General features: G+C 41.2%; 1 protein-coding gene across 6 annotated transcripts in view, besides 2 other annotated features; it reads right to left on the bottom strand.

The window, feature by feature from the left end:
* The window catches only part of TDRD7 (tudor domain containing 7), an 84,030-nt gene that overhangs the window by 24,448 nt on the left and 43,827 nt on the right, over positions 1–15,755 (bottom strand). For 4 of the 6 annotated variants that reach the window (NM_014290.3, NM_001302884.2, XM_047423113.1 and 1 more), the window contains 3 exons: positions 10,914–11,500; positions 6,650–6,836; positions 1,009–1,120 (listed from right to left, as the gene is read on the bottom strand). In NM_014290.3, the coding sequence (NP_055105.2) occupies positions 1,009–1,120; positions 6,650–6,836; positions 10,914–11,500 (886 nt within the window). Of the gene's footprint in view, positions 1–1,008; positions 1,121–6,649; positions 6,837–10,913; positions 11,501–15,755 lie in introns of those variants that run through there. The other 2 variants (XM_047423114.1, XM_047423115.1) reach the window with 2 other exon arrangements.
* Positions 2,994–3,053: an enhancer, noted in NCBI's record as "active region_28663". NCBI's record gives its function as "activates an Ori minimal core promoter by ATAC-STARR-seq in GM12878 lymphoblastoid cells {active_cell/tissue: GM12878}" and the evidence as "EXISTENCE:reporter gene assay evidence [ECO:0000049][PMID:35858748]".
* Positions 6,226–7,425: an enhancer, noted in NCBI's record as "BRD4-independent group 4 enhancer chr9:100226535-100227734 (GRCh37/hg19 assembly coordinates)". NCBI's record gives its function as "activates an origin of replication core promoter dependent on BRD2, P300/CBP, MED14 and CDK7 cofactors, and independent of BRD4, by STARR-seq in HCT116 cells {active_cell/tissue: HCT116}" and the evidence as "EXISTENCE:reporter gene assay evidence [ECO:0000049][PMID:35650434]".

The following is a 15,755-nucleotide window of genomic DNA, read 5'->3' as shown; positions in this document are numbered from 1 at the left end:
GTATTAAATGAATTAAAACTAGCTCATATTCCCCCAATGGTACTATAATGCCTATTTCCATATTTTTCTACTTTAAATCCACAAGCTAAAATTCAGACTCCTCCGAGTTTTTTCTTCTTCTTGTTCTGTTCTCCAGACATATAACTTTGAACTTTTCTCAAACATTTAATTTCAACACCCTAAATCCTGTCCTATGCCCTTGATACGTTCTTTCCAACACCAACTTCTAAAAGTTGTTAACAAGTTTTTAAAATTTCTTCAGGTTAATCTCACAGATAAGAGTCAAACCCAGCTCCTGTGACATAAGAATTCATCCCACTGGGAAGGAGGCATTTCTTCAGAGTACTAATTTTCATGAAATAATTATGATCATTTTCTGCATTTGGCTCAAGTCCCCCCCGGCATGGTGCATATTTCAATGCCTTTCCTTATCACGGACATGACCAATGTGTCATCTGTCCTTTAAGTTTATCCCTACATGGCACTCTCATACAGGTGGATTCCTCTGTTTCCTTTAGGAGGAAGGAAAAGAACAATGATACATCTACTATGCCAAAAACTGCATGTGACCTGTGATCAAACCCATGCTTGGGCACATGAAGGTGTGTCAGTCACACCCTCACAGCATCACCACAGTACATCTCAGTGGGAAAGGGGCTGAGAGTCACCTCACAACATGCTGAACAACATATTGAAACTCATCAAATGTCATGAAACAGGGCCTCTATCAATTGTTACTAGGGCAGTTAGAACAAGAAAAATCCCTTTAAGATGGCTGAAATTTTTATAAGAAATTATAATACGTTTTTATATATAACACAAAATATAAAAACATAACATTTTTATAATGGTATCTTATAAAGAATACATTCGACATGAATTTAAACCTTTCAAGAAGTAACACATTATAACATGAGATACTTAGTCCATTTTAGGATTCAACTATCCAAATGTACAGTGGTAATAGCCTATTGAAATGGAGAGAGTTTTTTAAAAAGTTCCTCTTACCTGCAAGCTTACATTTTGTAGCTTGAAATGAGAGTGAACAAAACTTCGGGTTTAATTTGTATGCTTTGCTTTTTTCAACATTTTCACTAAAACCATAGTCAACATAGCATACCTAATGATTAAAAACACAGAATGTTTAGTTCTTTATCCTCTCTTTAAAAAATTCATTTGATACACTTAATTGGCTCAATCTTATTCCATGATCAGCAAGCTGAGTGGCAGAGTGGCACCTGGAAAAAGCTGGGGAGGTGCCCCTGACTTACCACAGAAGAGAAAGGCTGGAGCTGAGACCAAGGAAACCAGGGGTCCTAGTTCCAGGTCCCAGTCTTCTACCTCACCCTACCCCTTCAATGGGAAGAACAAGACTGCTCAGCCCTGCCACCTTGCTGTCGCCAGTCTTTCAGCAGCCTATCTACCTGGTTCTGCCAACTCTGCTCCCCTCCCCTTTGGTGCTTTCATTAATATCATAATGCCTATATCAGCTTATTCTTTTTTGAGTTACACATTTCCACCCGTTCCCTGGACAGCAGTATTTGTTTCTATGGCAGGCATCATCCTTGTGGTATTTATCAGATTCTAAATCCCCAAAGCAGCATTTGTGATGGCTATTCTCAGCTACTGTGCTTCCAGGGACCGAGATGCTTCATCAATGACAACAATGGTATCACTGCTGAACAACATGGAATTCTAAACTAAAAAACAGGCGTACCTATTTTTTTCAAGGGTGTGAAGCTGGGTTAGGTCTTCTTTCAGCTCAGCAAAAGGCCCTAAGTCTGCTGAACAGAGGTCTGTGTTTGCAGAAACCTGAACAACTTTTCCTCACCATTAGCACAGACTGTTAAGAGCCTGGATATTATTTTTAAGAATATTTATAGAATCTTCAGTTTAAAAGGATTATATAAACACAAAGCCTTTTTTTGAGAAAAATAAAAATCTAGAAACATTAAGCTATGGTTTAGAATAACTAAGAATCTAAGGGAAATGTTGAAAACCTAATATGCATCTCTAATTAAAGGAGATGATGGTTATTGAAAGAAACAAAGCAAACAAAACAACAAACACCAGGGCAAAGTCTTGGCCTTAATACCAAGTAACATGAGGTAGGTTCCTTTCACTGCCTCCCTGAAAATAAAGTCCACAGGCCAGCTTCTTAGTACCTAGATTATGGTACTAAACACACGAAACAAAAACCCTTCCCAGCAGAGAATCTAAGGGAAAAAAGCAGAAGACACCACTAACTCCTTTCCTTGGCCATGTGATAAGCGGGCCTGTGGGGCCTGTCTACCTTGTATCAGAAAGACCATCTCTTAGAATCCACATCTGACTCAACACTGACTTAGGCCTAGATCGCTGGTAGGGCTGCATGTCAGGCAGCTGGCCATTTAAGTGCACAAGTCTATTTCTCCAATCCTAAATTAGCACCTGCTTTTGCTTCTCATAGGCCTCAGGAGTCAGGCAGCTTTCATTTCCTTTAATAGCTATCACCACCTACAACTTAGATTCTGTTCTTCCCAGGCCCAAAATGGAGGTAACGTGGTCTGACAATAGGACATAGCATGTGAAATCATGACTCCTGGGAAATTCAGAATGTATTCTTAGCACAAGAACAGATTAAAGAATAACTGCTCCAAAGCCTCAAAAGAAAGTGTTTCTGAACTGTTTGTAGCTTCTTTTCTTGTTTTTAATCATACATGTTTGTATGGCAACTGCAGTTTATAAAACACTTGTCCATGCATTGGCCAGTGTGACTCTCACCACACTCTGCTCTGTGTCCTTTGCTCTGTGAGGGCTCAGTAGTCTCTCTCTCTCTAATGTCCTGGGATCAGGGCCAGTAGTCACATAATCTGGCATAAGGCCCCAGTCCATTCCTGGTTCTCTGGCACCATCAAGTGGCCAAAGGTCTCCCAGCACTACCTATCACCCAGCAGACTCCCCTGGGATGTGGGCCTGGGTCAGGCCAAACTGGCACCAGCCTCAGCGGGTGACCACATCTCCTGTTTCTCCTACTCACCAAGGATCTGACAGGGAAAGCAAGGAAGGAATCAGTACTTACCACCAGACAAAGTTCAATTCAAGCGAAGCAAGACTGGTGCTAAGTAGCTGGGGTTTCTCCAAATAAAGGGAGAAATCATCTCTGTCAGCTTCAAGGGGATGTGGGGAACAAGTTCAGGCCCGGATTGCTACAATCACCGCTGTCCCAAGAGCTTGCTACTGCACAAAATACCGAGCTACCTTTTTTATTCTTCACATCCAGCCCATAATTCTCAGCAGCAATGACGAGGCTGGTCACTCCCTTCTTTATGAGACGCTTTCTTTTTCTGGCTTCTGTGACACCACTCTCTTGGTTTTTCTTCTTTGGCCATCTTTACAGGCTTTTCTGCTCCCCTTATGCCTCCATGTAAATACTGAAGGGTTTCAGGACCTGGGCCCAGGCCCCTCCTCCTCTCTACGTGTATTCTCTCTCTAGGGGATCTCATCTTGTCCTGTGATTTCACATAGCACCTATATGCTGATGCCTCCCAACCTGACACATCTCCAGTCCTAACTGCTCCCTGAGCTCCAAATTCATCCATGTGACATCTGATAGCTATTCTCAAACCTAGCAGGTCCTATGAAATTCTCAATTGTTCTCCACAATGGTTTTTCTCTCTGACTTCCCAATTTCAACAAATGGCACCAATATCTAGTCAATTGCTCAAGCCCCAAACCCAGTAGCTTATCTTGAATCTTCTCTTTTGCTTACCATCCACTTCCAACAGGTCAGTGTCCTGTCAGTTCTACCTCCAAATATATCCTGAATCTCTTCCACTACCTCCATCTTCACTAATCCAGGTTACAAGGTAGCTGGCTATTACAACAGCCACCTAACCAGTATTACTTTCCTTCTGTGCCCTACTATAATACAATCCATTCCCCCACAACAGTCCCAGAATGATTTCTGAAGCATCTAAATGAGATCACATCACTCTGCCTATCTCTTGCTTCAGAGTTATTTTCTATCATAGTTATTTCCTTTATTGGTTATTTCCTTCATTGTACTAAAATTGTTTTGTGTGTTTACTGTATGCTTGTCATCTCTCTCTTCTCACTAGAATGTAAGCTTCTTGAGAAGAAGGACTTGTATGTTTTGTTCTTGGCTCCAGTAAAAAGTGAAAAAGTGTATCAGGTATATACAACACGATGGGAGTGTTTGAATTTACAGATAAGCAATCAGGGAAGTTAAATAACTTTCCTAAGGCCACACAGCTAGAAATGGCAAAGCTGAGACTCAGTTCTATCTGACACGAGAGCCTGAATTCCCAAAGTAGAAGGAGGGAGGGAGGAAAGAAAGTGACTGCCCTATAGACTTCAGACTGGGAGATATCCTTGTGGAATAGCTGCATTATTTATTGTAAATATTGTTACACTGTTAATGTGTCATTAGGATTTACGTATGATTCTTCTCTTCATAAGAAATCTCTGTGCCTCAAAATAGCTTAGCTTTTGTTGAACTTCCTAAGGGCCGGGGGAGTGAAATGGCCAGGAAACAGAAGTTTATCTAGGAACGTTTAGGGATAGTTATCTCCTATCAACTAGAGACCCAGAGGAATGGAGGGACTTGACCAAAGGCACACACCCAAATACAGGCAGACTCAGGACTAGTGCCCAAGCCCTGTGTTCTCCTTTGGTCCAGTGACCATTGTGGTCCTTAGCTTCTTCCAGGTTTCAAACTTTATCCAAGTATAATTTACACTGAATAAAAGATACCTGTTTACAATACAGTTTGATGGGCTTTGATCAATGTATACATCCATATAATCATCACCATAATCAACATATAGACCATTTACACCACCCCAAAAAGTCTCCTTTTGCCCTTTGCAATTAGCCCCCCTCCACCTCCTGTCCCAGGCAACCACTGATCTGATTTCTATCACTGCAGATGAATTTTACCTGCTCTTAGACATCATTTACATGAAATTATACATTACTCTCTTGTGCCTGGCTTCTTTTGCTCAGCACAAAATCTGTGAGGTTTGTCCATGAAACTATTTATATCAGTAGTTAATTCCTTTGTATTGTTAACAGTGTTCTACTACATGAATAAACTATAATTTGTTTTTATGATCCACCTGTTGGTGAACATTTGGGCTGTGTCCAGTTTGGGGCTATTAATAATAATACTGCAACACACATGTATGTACAAGACACCTTGTGGGCCTTAGGGGTCATATGGTTAAGTGTTCGTAAGAAACTGGCAAACTATTTTCCAATTTTCAGATTTTTAAAGTCAGTCAAATTACTTAAAATTTGTGCCTCTGTAGATTCAGCTGGGGAGTTTCCTAAATGCCTCTGCAAATGGGAAAGGGTGGCTGGGTGGTTGGGTGAGCTTACTTCTGGAGAGGGTCAGGGCCTCTCCTATTGAGCAACCTGCTAAGAAACAGCAGTATCCCTTTCTGACCTCCTAACTCCCACTTGTAGCTAGGGTTCAGTGGCCAGTAACTGATGGACTTAAGCCTGTGTTCAGGGACTGGTCATTTGCACTCAGTGACACATACAGGATTACTGGCTGGCGGCTGATAGTGGCACATGGAATAAGGTTTTGTATTATGGAACAGAGGCTGCAGAAATAGAAACATATTTCCCTGCTTGCAAAATCTAGAGAAAACCAAAAGATCTTAGATACATTCCCCTCACAGTCCAAGAGCGCTCTGTATAAATACAAGGGACTATAGAAGTGGGGAACTAGGGTCACCCTTCTACACAGTGTCCTTCCCATCATGAAGGACAGAAATGAACCCAAGTCTTAAAGCGCATTTCCCTTTAGGGAAGGGAGACATCTTAACAATCGAGAAAGAAAAGACTTTCTCTCCCTCCAAATTCTCTATCAAGTAGCAGGCCCATTATTCAAAGGATAAATTCCAAATAGACACACAGCTTCCACCAAGATAGAAAGAAGTAACACATTAAAAATACACTAGTACAACTGACCACACAGCACACGGAGCTAATACCTAATTTCTCTGCATGTTATTTGGGTGTTCCAAGGCCCTGAGACACTACCGCTCTCAGGGAAACTGTGCTTCTTGGTCTCTGCATTGACAGTATGAAGAGGCAAAGGGCAGAGGCTGATATCCACGAATGTAGCCAAGCCCAGAAGAGTCTGCTGATGGAAGCAAGTGGCAAACGGGCCCACTGGCCTTTTCAAGAGGGTGGAGAGGGCTACGCTGGGAGCAGCTGTGGAGAAGGACCTGTGTCTTGGCTACAGAAGAGGGAGAAGAAGAATTGTCTCCTTTGGTCTGTATGGCTTCCCTCACTCCGAAGTACTGGCCTTGATAAGAGGCCCACAGAGTTCTGGTCAGTATTCATTATACATCCCCTAGGAATAGGAAGTGTCTTTCCCTGATTGGATAATGTGTTATGAATACTCCCATGGGGAATTTATTTTTTTAACTAAAACTCTGAGATAATAATAACTACCACGAATTTAAAGGCTGACAGGGATAACCTTTTACAGATATTATCTTTTCAACTTCCATTGAAAACTACATTTAATTATAGGATACAACATTTAAATTTCAAAAATGTAAAAAATATTTACATTTGGAAAATAATAAGGTATTTGTATCCATAATGCTATGACAAAGTAAACAGTGCTTGCCTTTATTTTGTTCTCTTCTGTTGAGATGACCTGTGCCCGTAACCAGGCGTCCTCCTCGGCATTTACGGCCAGCAACTGCCCAACATTCACAGCCTGGACTGGTGTGATCTTAGGATTCTTACTGTAATATTCCTTCATCTCATCTTCCATTAATTCCTGAGCAGCAGAATAGTCTTTGCCCACATACCTGAATCAGTTAAAAGAAGAGAATGCAAATGAAGTAACCTAGAAGAAGAAAAGCAATAGGAATTCGTTTTTGTCCTTCTTTTTTCCCTGCTGCCATCTTTGGTTCCAGTCTCAGACTTGCTTATATCAACAGGGAGGAGAACGTGTATTCAGTGAAATACTTATCTCTTGAAAAAGAAGATAAGGGGGCTGGTCACAGTGGCTCACACCTGTAATCCCAGCACTCTGGGAGGCCGAGGCAGGCAGATCACAAGGTCAGGAGTTTGAGACCAGCCTGGCCAATATGGTGAAATCCTATCTCTACTAAAAATACAAAAATTAGCTGGGTGTGGGGGTGGGCGCCTGTAGTCCCAGCTACTTGGGAGGCTAAGGCAGGAGAATCGCTTGAACCCAGGAGGTGGAAGTTGCAGGTTGCAGTGAGCCAAGATCACACCACTGCACTCCAGCCTGGATGACAGAGTGAGACTCCCTCTCAGATAAGGGACAATGGAGACTGCACAAAACACACACCAAACAACACAGCAAACATTTGGTCCAACATATCCCACAACAAAGGAAACGTGGAGCAATCCAGACAACGAGAGGGCATAACAGGAAGCAGCGATAGTGTCCTCAGGAAGGACAAGGCTGAGAAAAGTCAGGAAGGGGAGAGAGGAGGAGACGTGGAAAATGGAGACACCAAGGGAGGCCTGGAGGCCAGAGAAGTGAGGGTCGATGCTGGATCTTGACTAAGGCTGCTGGAAATCTTTACAGATTACTAAGAAGAGACTCTAGAACATAGTTTTAACCTAACTAGGGCTGGGTCAAGCTTTGAAAAGCAATGAAATTTTACTAGAGAAAAAACAAAGCTGTGAGTACACTAAACACAACGTTGACACCCCCCCTCCAAACTTATTAAAGAATTTGAACAAATTACAACAAAATGTTGACTTCTGATACCCTTAAAAGAGGTACCATATTCTAGTCAAATGTCTCTAAAACTGTATGCTTGTTGAGAAATATTTTTTTTCAGGATTATGTCCTTATTCCTTTCTACACTTTTCTACTGTTGACAACTGTGGTCACCTTGTTCCAGTTCATGTTATCAAAACAGGCTACTGTTTTCTTGCGCTTTAGTCCTCAGAGATGATTTCGTCCAGGGTCTCCTTCTAGGGTGTAAAACCTGGCATATCAAGTTTGGGTCATGTAAGAGAAGCTGTCCCAGCCATAGGATCGAGGCCTTTTTAGCTGGAAGGCTATACTCTAACAGCACCAGCATCACTTGGCCCAGGAGACAGGGGAGATGCCACAAGAACCTTGTTCTTTGTATTGTTCCAGGTTTCACCCAGGCTCCAAGTAGGCCTGTACAGCTCTAAGAAATGGTTCCTTTAGGACTATTTCTATGTATTCTTGGTAATTATCAGCAGGGCAGAAGATGCCATAGTCAAGCTATTCATTACAAGGAGAAAAAAAAAAAAAAAAACAAAACTCAGAAAGTCCTACACAAAATGGAAACCATGTGCAATGGCTATTTTAAAATGAAATATTATGTGCATATTATTGGCTTCAGAAATAGCTGCAGAAGCTTTGCCATACTCTTATAGTTTAATTTTTTTTTTGAGACAGGGTTTCACTGCTGTGTTACCTAGGTTGGACTCTTGGGCTCAAGCAATCCTCCCACTTCAGCCTGCTGAGTAGTTGGGAGGATGTGTATGTGTCACTGAGCCAGGTATTATCATTTAAATGTATTGAGCTTTGCAAATACTAAGGCACTGCCTTGAATGCAGTTGCACTCTTGGCTCTGAAGTCCTCCAGAAGGTCTGCAACTGCACCCGACTGCCCATTTGCTGGGACCTAGAGTCTCACTGGGCCTCCCCCTAGTGCTGCTATGTAGCCCTGGGTGCTCAACTGGCAGAGGCCTGGGCTGCAGCCCTGATGTGGTGGTCTGCCAAACACAGGCTCCTGCCAGAAGGGAGGAAGGTGATGAGAAATGGCTTGGGATCTGCAGGCAGCTTCTCTTCTCTTAAGCAGCCAGGAGAGAAGGAGGGCTGCACAGATAGGGGGAAGATGGACGGTGTTGGATGAGGCACAGTGCAGGACTGACATTACAGCTTGTATGACAGTGGGTAATGACGAGAATGAGGTCATATATTATCCTCAAATTACCTGAGCAAGGGGGGCAAAGAATGATGGATAGGCCAATTTAGAGATGCCCTAAATACAAAGTTTTACAAAGTTAATTTCTGAGACAAGGGATTCCCATATTTGAGATGAGGGTTCTGCCATAGTACCCTCCAGGCCCTAATGAGCCAGAGATCCAGCTTCCAGTGCCTACTGCCTGCCTGGGTGAAGATGCCAGTACAGAACAGGGTTCAGTCTGGTGGAGGTTTGCAAAGTCTTGTGGGGAGGGCAGAAGCCAATAACCTAAGGTCAACCTAATGGCAGACATTACCCATCTTGCTTGCTGGTTGCCAGCCACTCTGCTGAACACATAAAATGCTGACTCCAGGATTTAAATTCCTACTGGGATAAGGTATTTAAATAATCTGACGACCCTGGACATAATCATCCTTGACAAACCTTGGTGTGAACAACAGAAACCATGTGATTGGTCTGGCCCGGTGCTTGGTCTCTGACTATGGCACCAACAGTTACTAGTTACAGATACCAAAGGATCCTGCCGTGTAAGTTTCTTTATAGTATAGTCAAATGGTAAAAGGTGGTAATGTGGCCTTCAATATCTTTCCTTTACTTCAATACAATAGTGAAACATATTGGGACCTCTAGCCTTCAGCAACCTATTTATATCTTCAGGCCACACCACATCTTAGAATAAAAGCTTTATCCTCTCTAAAGTTTCTGGAGGTTCTTCCAGTTTGAGCATCTGAAGATACTAGGTTCACTCTATTATCTACTCAGATTTCATTTGTTCAAATGGAAGAGCTTTAAATTTTTGAGCTCTTCTTTCATTGAAGGATTCTAATTATTTTTTGTGGTTCTTCTTTGGGCTTTTCCATCTCAGTTATGGGTCTCTGGAGGAGGGACAGCCCAAACCAAAGGACCATTTGGTTGAAGGAGCCCAGATTCTGTTTGCTTCAGCATTTTTCTGATCTGCCCAGCCATGGCCACACCCTGGACTGGTACCTCCAGGGGTTCAGCTACATAGGTTCCCATTCTTTTTCCCAAATGGAGACTGCAAATTATAGTCTTTCTATATTTTCCACGTATTCTGCATTTTCTCCAAAAGTCCAAGACAGGTGCCTGGAGCTGTACTGTTTTTTGTTATTCTAGTTATTGTTAGCTACCTAGGCAATGATGCCTTAGGCAATGACACCTCCTCTCAGGCAACGATACTGAAAGACTCAAATAAATAGAGCACCTTTGGGTCCAAGGTCTAATCTGATGTATTATACAAGGAAAGCAGCTCTGAGCTATTTTTACTTTTAGGAAATACTACATAGTCCCAGATTATAAATAGTATTATGCAGTGTGTAGGGCACTTGCCTTTTCTGCGAACTAGGTATTGCTTTTGACATAATATAGTTACCAACAAGCTTTTGACATGAATCTTTTTTTCAAGTTCATATTATCATTCCAATGTTTAAAGCTATTAGTAGTCTTAGGATAGCTGTATATTTTGAACAATTAACAAATATTAATACATTATTAAGCCTCACTATAACTCTATAGAACTAAGAATATGTTATCCTTTTTTTTTTTTTTGAGATGGAGTCTTGCTCTTTCGCCCAGGCTGGAGTGCAGTGGCACAATCTTGGCTCACTGCAAGCTCCACCTCCCAAGTTGACACCATTCTCTTGCCTCAGCCTCCCGAGTAGCTGGGACTACAGGCACCCGCCACCACGCCCTGCTAATTTTTTGTATTTTTAGTAGAGACGGGGTTTCGCCATGTTAGCCAGGATGGTCTCGATCTCCTGACCTTGTGATCCGCCCACCTCGGCCTCCCAAAGTGCTGGGATTACAGGTGTGAGCCACCGCACCCGGCCATATTATTCTTCCTTTAACCCTCAACATCCATGTGAAGAATAGACAAGTGACAAAAGTATATCAGAATCCTAAAGAATTAGAAAATGAAACTTGCCTGATAACCACTTCATTTGTGTTGCTCAGTTCAACCACCAATACAGATGGTGATGCTTCAGTTGGAATCATTAAAGGAGGAACTGTTATGTCCTCCATAAAGGTATTAGCACTTTCAGCAATGCTTTCTTCTACCTGCAAATACTCTTGTTCAACCATAGCCTTGATATCATTATCACCATGTGCTTGCCCTGCATCCTTTTGGATTTTGTCAGTGGGCAATGGAAGTTTAGCATAGAGAATGGCCTTCTGGGGATTTCCAGAAATGTAGTCTATGCTGCATACATCAGAAAGTGAGGCAAGATTTTTTAAGGCATCCTCAGGGAATTTCACTTTGTACATTTCCTCAAATGCTTTCGGAAGTGCACTGGCCCAAAGGCCACTTGTGTATTTCACCAGCAGGTCTGCCACTTTTTCTTTAAAGTCTCCTGCCATAACTGTTGGACACCCTTTCAACGGTGGTGTTTGTTTGGGACCAGGTAGTGGGGATAGAGGTACTTTCTCAGTATCCAGTTCACTTCTCAAAAGCTGCTTTCTCTTAGCTGGATAAAGAAGTAAATCTTGGCCACCACTGCAAGGTTTCTCCACCTGAAATTTTTAAATAAAGCAAATGACAGATATTTCAGTGACTATAAACAACCCACAAACACATTAATGCATTCTAAATTTGAGAGTCATGCTGTTTCCAAATTAATCAAGTGTACGATTTACTCTTTTCAATTGCTAGGACTTTAATGCATTATCTCCACCTGCAAATAACATGAGCCACATTTCAGAAATAAAAAGGAAAATAAAATAGTATTAAATTCATTTGTGCGGCATCGAGACTCCAGCTGCCCTAGAAAATCACAAGTGCTCTGCCCTGTAACGTGTACTCTCATTTAGTTGTTTCTGCCAAATCCAAAACAATAGCTTACAAAACTGACTAAAAATAAGTTGTGAAAAGGTATTAAAACTGTCAGGAATAAACCACTGGGAAGAAAACTAGAAAATATTTAGAAAAAATAGGAGTGCCATCTCTCTTCTTCTTGCAATAGCCTGAGAAAACCCTTGGCTTTCCATTATTTAGAAAAAGATGCTCCAGAGATAAGTACAGTTTTAAAACAACCACAGCAGAAAGTTTAGCTGCAAGTGTTGTCACTCTAACAAACAAGTATTAAAAATACCTAGCACTTGTATGTCATCCAATCTTGAATTTCATTTGCATGCCATTTCTGAGAGGCACAGCTTGATGACATATTTTTATGTAAGAGAAGAAGGAGAAGAGAAACTGATGTATGGCATAATTTTTCTCCCTGAGTTTTAAGCCTTTCTACTACTAGAGCAGAGGTCAGCTCTACTACTAGAGCATGGCCCAATGCAGTTCATGGCTCATGGGCTAAAAAATGATTTTTATATTTTCAAATGCTAGAAAAAAAATCAAAAGAATTATTTCATAACTTGCAAAAATTATATGAAACTCAATATACATAAAGTTTTATTGGAACACAGTCATGCTCATTTATTTACATATTCTCTCTGGCTGCTTTTGCTCTACAGTGACACAGTTGAATAACTGTGATGGACTGCATCTGTTAGTTGCAGCTCTTGGCCTGCAGAGCCTAAACATTTACCATGGACCTTTACAAAAGCAGTTTCTTGAACCCTGTACGAGACCATTAGACTGAAGTTAAAATTCCTTGCCTTCCAAAATATTTCTATTTTGTCAGATCCTATTTTACCTACCCCTTAGCTGCAATTTAACCCCTTAGGGTAATAATTACAAGTTTACATGAACCATGGTCCACCCAGAAGAACAGAATTTTAAAGTATGCTGGTTAGGTAGCTTATTAGTAAAGAACACTGACTTTTTACTTCACTCTCCATACAATGCTTAGGAAGAGTGAACATAAACATTTATGTACAAAGAAAGAAGGCGCTATCTTGTTATCAGAGAAGAGTTTTGACAAGTTAAAAGACATAGGCAACTTGGTAATAAAATTCCTTTTAGTCTGACTACATATTCTACATCACATAGGAAGTGAACGATATTAATATAAAACATTAGGTTTTCCTCTTCATACTTTTACCAATGTATGCTTAAGTTTTGAGGACTGAGGAAAACTTCCACACCTGGAAAGCCTAAAGCATCACTGAAAGCAGAGGTCTAATGGCACCTCCTGTAATCTGTCATGGTCTCCTGCTGGCACTCTGTGATCCCTCTAAATGGCATGTTATATGATTGGCGCAGTTTATGTCCCTCATTTTAAGCCATAGGGACACAAATAGTTGGAGCATTCCTCATCTTTCTCTTGATGGTTAGTCTACTTCTCTAGAGACCCATGTTTTAAAATCTGAAATCTTAAAATGCCAATCTTCGCTGTGCTTTATGACACTCAATAAGATACAAGAATACAGATTAGGTATCCAGAGGTTTGAAACGCACACTTTCGGAGCCAATGGATAAGGAAAACAGCATTATAAGTGAATGATTAACTTGCCATATAGAATCCCAATTAGTGTAGTCAGTCATGCATCACTTAACGATGGGAATACATTCTCAGAAACGTGTCATCTGTTGTGCAAATATCATAGTGTGTACTTATACAAACCTAGATGGTATAGCCTACTCCATTATATAGGTTCATTATAATCTTTTTTCCTTCTAAAAAAAATGGGATACATGTGCAGAATGTGCAGGTTTGTTACATAGGTATACATGTGCCATAGTGGTTTGCTACACCTATCCACCTGCCCTCTAAGTTCCCTCCCCTCAACCACCCTAATAGGCCCCTAATAACCCCCTAATAGGCCCTGGTAAGTGTTGTTCCCCTCTCTGTATCCATGTATTCTCAATGTTCAACTCCCACTTAGGAGTGAGAACATGTGGCGTTTGGTTTTCCATTCCTGTGTTAGTTTGCTGAGGATAATGGCTTCCGGTTTCATCCATGTCCCCGCAAGGAGATAATCTCATTCCTTTCTATGGCTGCATGGTATTCCATAGTGTGTACGCACCACATTTTCTTTATCTAGTCTATCACTGATGGGCATTTTGGTTGGTTCCATGTCTTTGCTATTGTAAATAGCACTGCAATAAACATACGTGTGTGGCCGGGTGCAGTGGCTCACACCTGTAATCCCAGCACTTTGGGAGGCCAAGGCGGGCAGATCATGAGGTCAGGAGTTCGAGACCAGCCTGGCCAACATAGTGAAATCCTGTCTCTACTAAAAATGCAAAATATTAGCTGGGTGTGGTGGCAGGTGCCTGTAATCCCAACTACTTGGGAGGCTGATGCAAGAGAATCACTTGAACCCGGGAGGCAGAGGTTGCAGTGAGCCAAGATCATGCCATTGCACGCCAGCCCAGGTGACAGTTTGAGACTCTGTCTCAAAAAAAAAATATATATATATTTGTGTGTGTGTGTGTGTCTTTATAGTAGAATGATTTATATTCCTTTGGGTACATAGCCAGTAATGGAATTGCTGGGTCAAATGTATTTCTGATTCTAGATCCTTGAGGAATTGTCGCCATACTGTCTTCCACAACAGTTGAACTAATTTACATTCCCACCAACAGTGTAAAAGTGTTCCTATTTATCCACAGCCTCACCAACACTGTTTCCTCACTTTTTAATAATTGCCATTCTGCCTGGCATGAGATAGTATCTCACTGTGGTTGGTTTTGATTAACATTTCTCTGATGATCAGTGATGTTGAGCTTTTTTTCATGTTTGTTGGCTGTGTAAATGTCTTCTTTTGAGAAGTGTCTGTTCATACCCTTTGCCCACTTTTTGATGGGGTTGTTTTTTTCTTGTACATATGTTTAAGTTCCTTGTAAATTTTAGATAATTATTAGACCTTTGTCAGATGGGTAGTTTGCAAAAATTTTCTCCCATTCTGTAGGGTGCCTGTTCACTCTGATGATAGCTTCTTTTGCTGTGCAGAAGCACTTTAGTTTAACACCATTTGTGAATTTTGGCTTTTGTTGCAATTGCTTTTGGTGTTTTTGTCATGAAGTTTTTGCCCAGGCCTATGTCCTGAATGGTGTTGCGTAGGTTTTCTTCTAGGGTTTTTATGGTTTGGGGTTTTACATTTAAGTCTTTAATTCATCCTGAGTTATTTTTTGTATAAGGTGTAAGGAAGGGGTCCAGTTTCAGTTTTCTGAATATGGCTAGCCAGTTTTCCCAGCATCATTTACTGAATAGGAGATCCTTTCCCCATTGCTTTTGTCAGGTTTGTTGAAATCAGATGGTTGTAGATGTGTGGTGTTATTTCTGAGGTCTCTGTTCTGCTCCATTGGTCTATTTGTCTGCTTTGGTACCAGTACCAACTTGTTTTGGTTTCTCTAGCCTTGTAGTATAGTCAGTCTGAAGTCAGATAGTGTGATGCCTCCAGCTTTGCTTTTTTTGCTAGGATTGTCTTGGCTATAAGGGGTCTTCTTTGATTCCATATGAAATTTAACATAGTTTTTTCTAATTCTGTGAAGAATGTCAATGGTAGTTTGATGAGAATAGCATTTAATCTAGAAATCACTTTGGGCAGTATGGCCATTTTCATGATATTGATTCTTCCTATCCATGAGGATGGAATATTTTTCCATTTGTTTGTGTCCTCTCTTATTTCCTTGAGCAGTGGTTTGTAGTTGTCTTTGAAGAGGTCCTTCATGTCCTTTGTTAGCTGTGTTCCTAGGTATTTTATTCTCTTTGTAGCGATCGCCAATGGGAGTTCATTCATGATTTGGCTCTCTGCTTGCCTATTGTTGGTGTAAAGAAATGCTTGTGATTTTTGCATGTTGGTTTTGTATCCTAAGACTTTGCTGAAGTTGCTTATCAGTTCAAGAAGTTTTTGGGCTGAGATAATGGGG

Source organism: Homo sapiens, chromosome 9, assembly GCF_000001405.40.
Source record: "Homo sapiens chromosome 9, GRCh38.p14 Primary Assembly".
NCBI lineage: Eukaryota > Metazoa > Chordata > Mammalia > Primates > Hominidae > Homo > Homo sapiens.
Note: the sequence above shows the minus strand (reverse complement) of the source record. Positions and strands in the feature narration are given on the sequence as shown.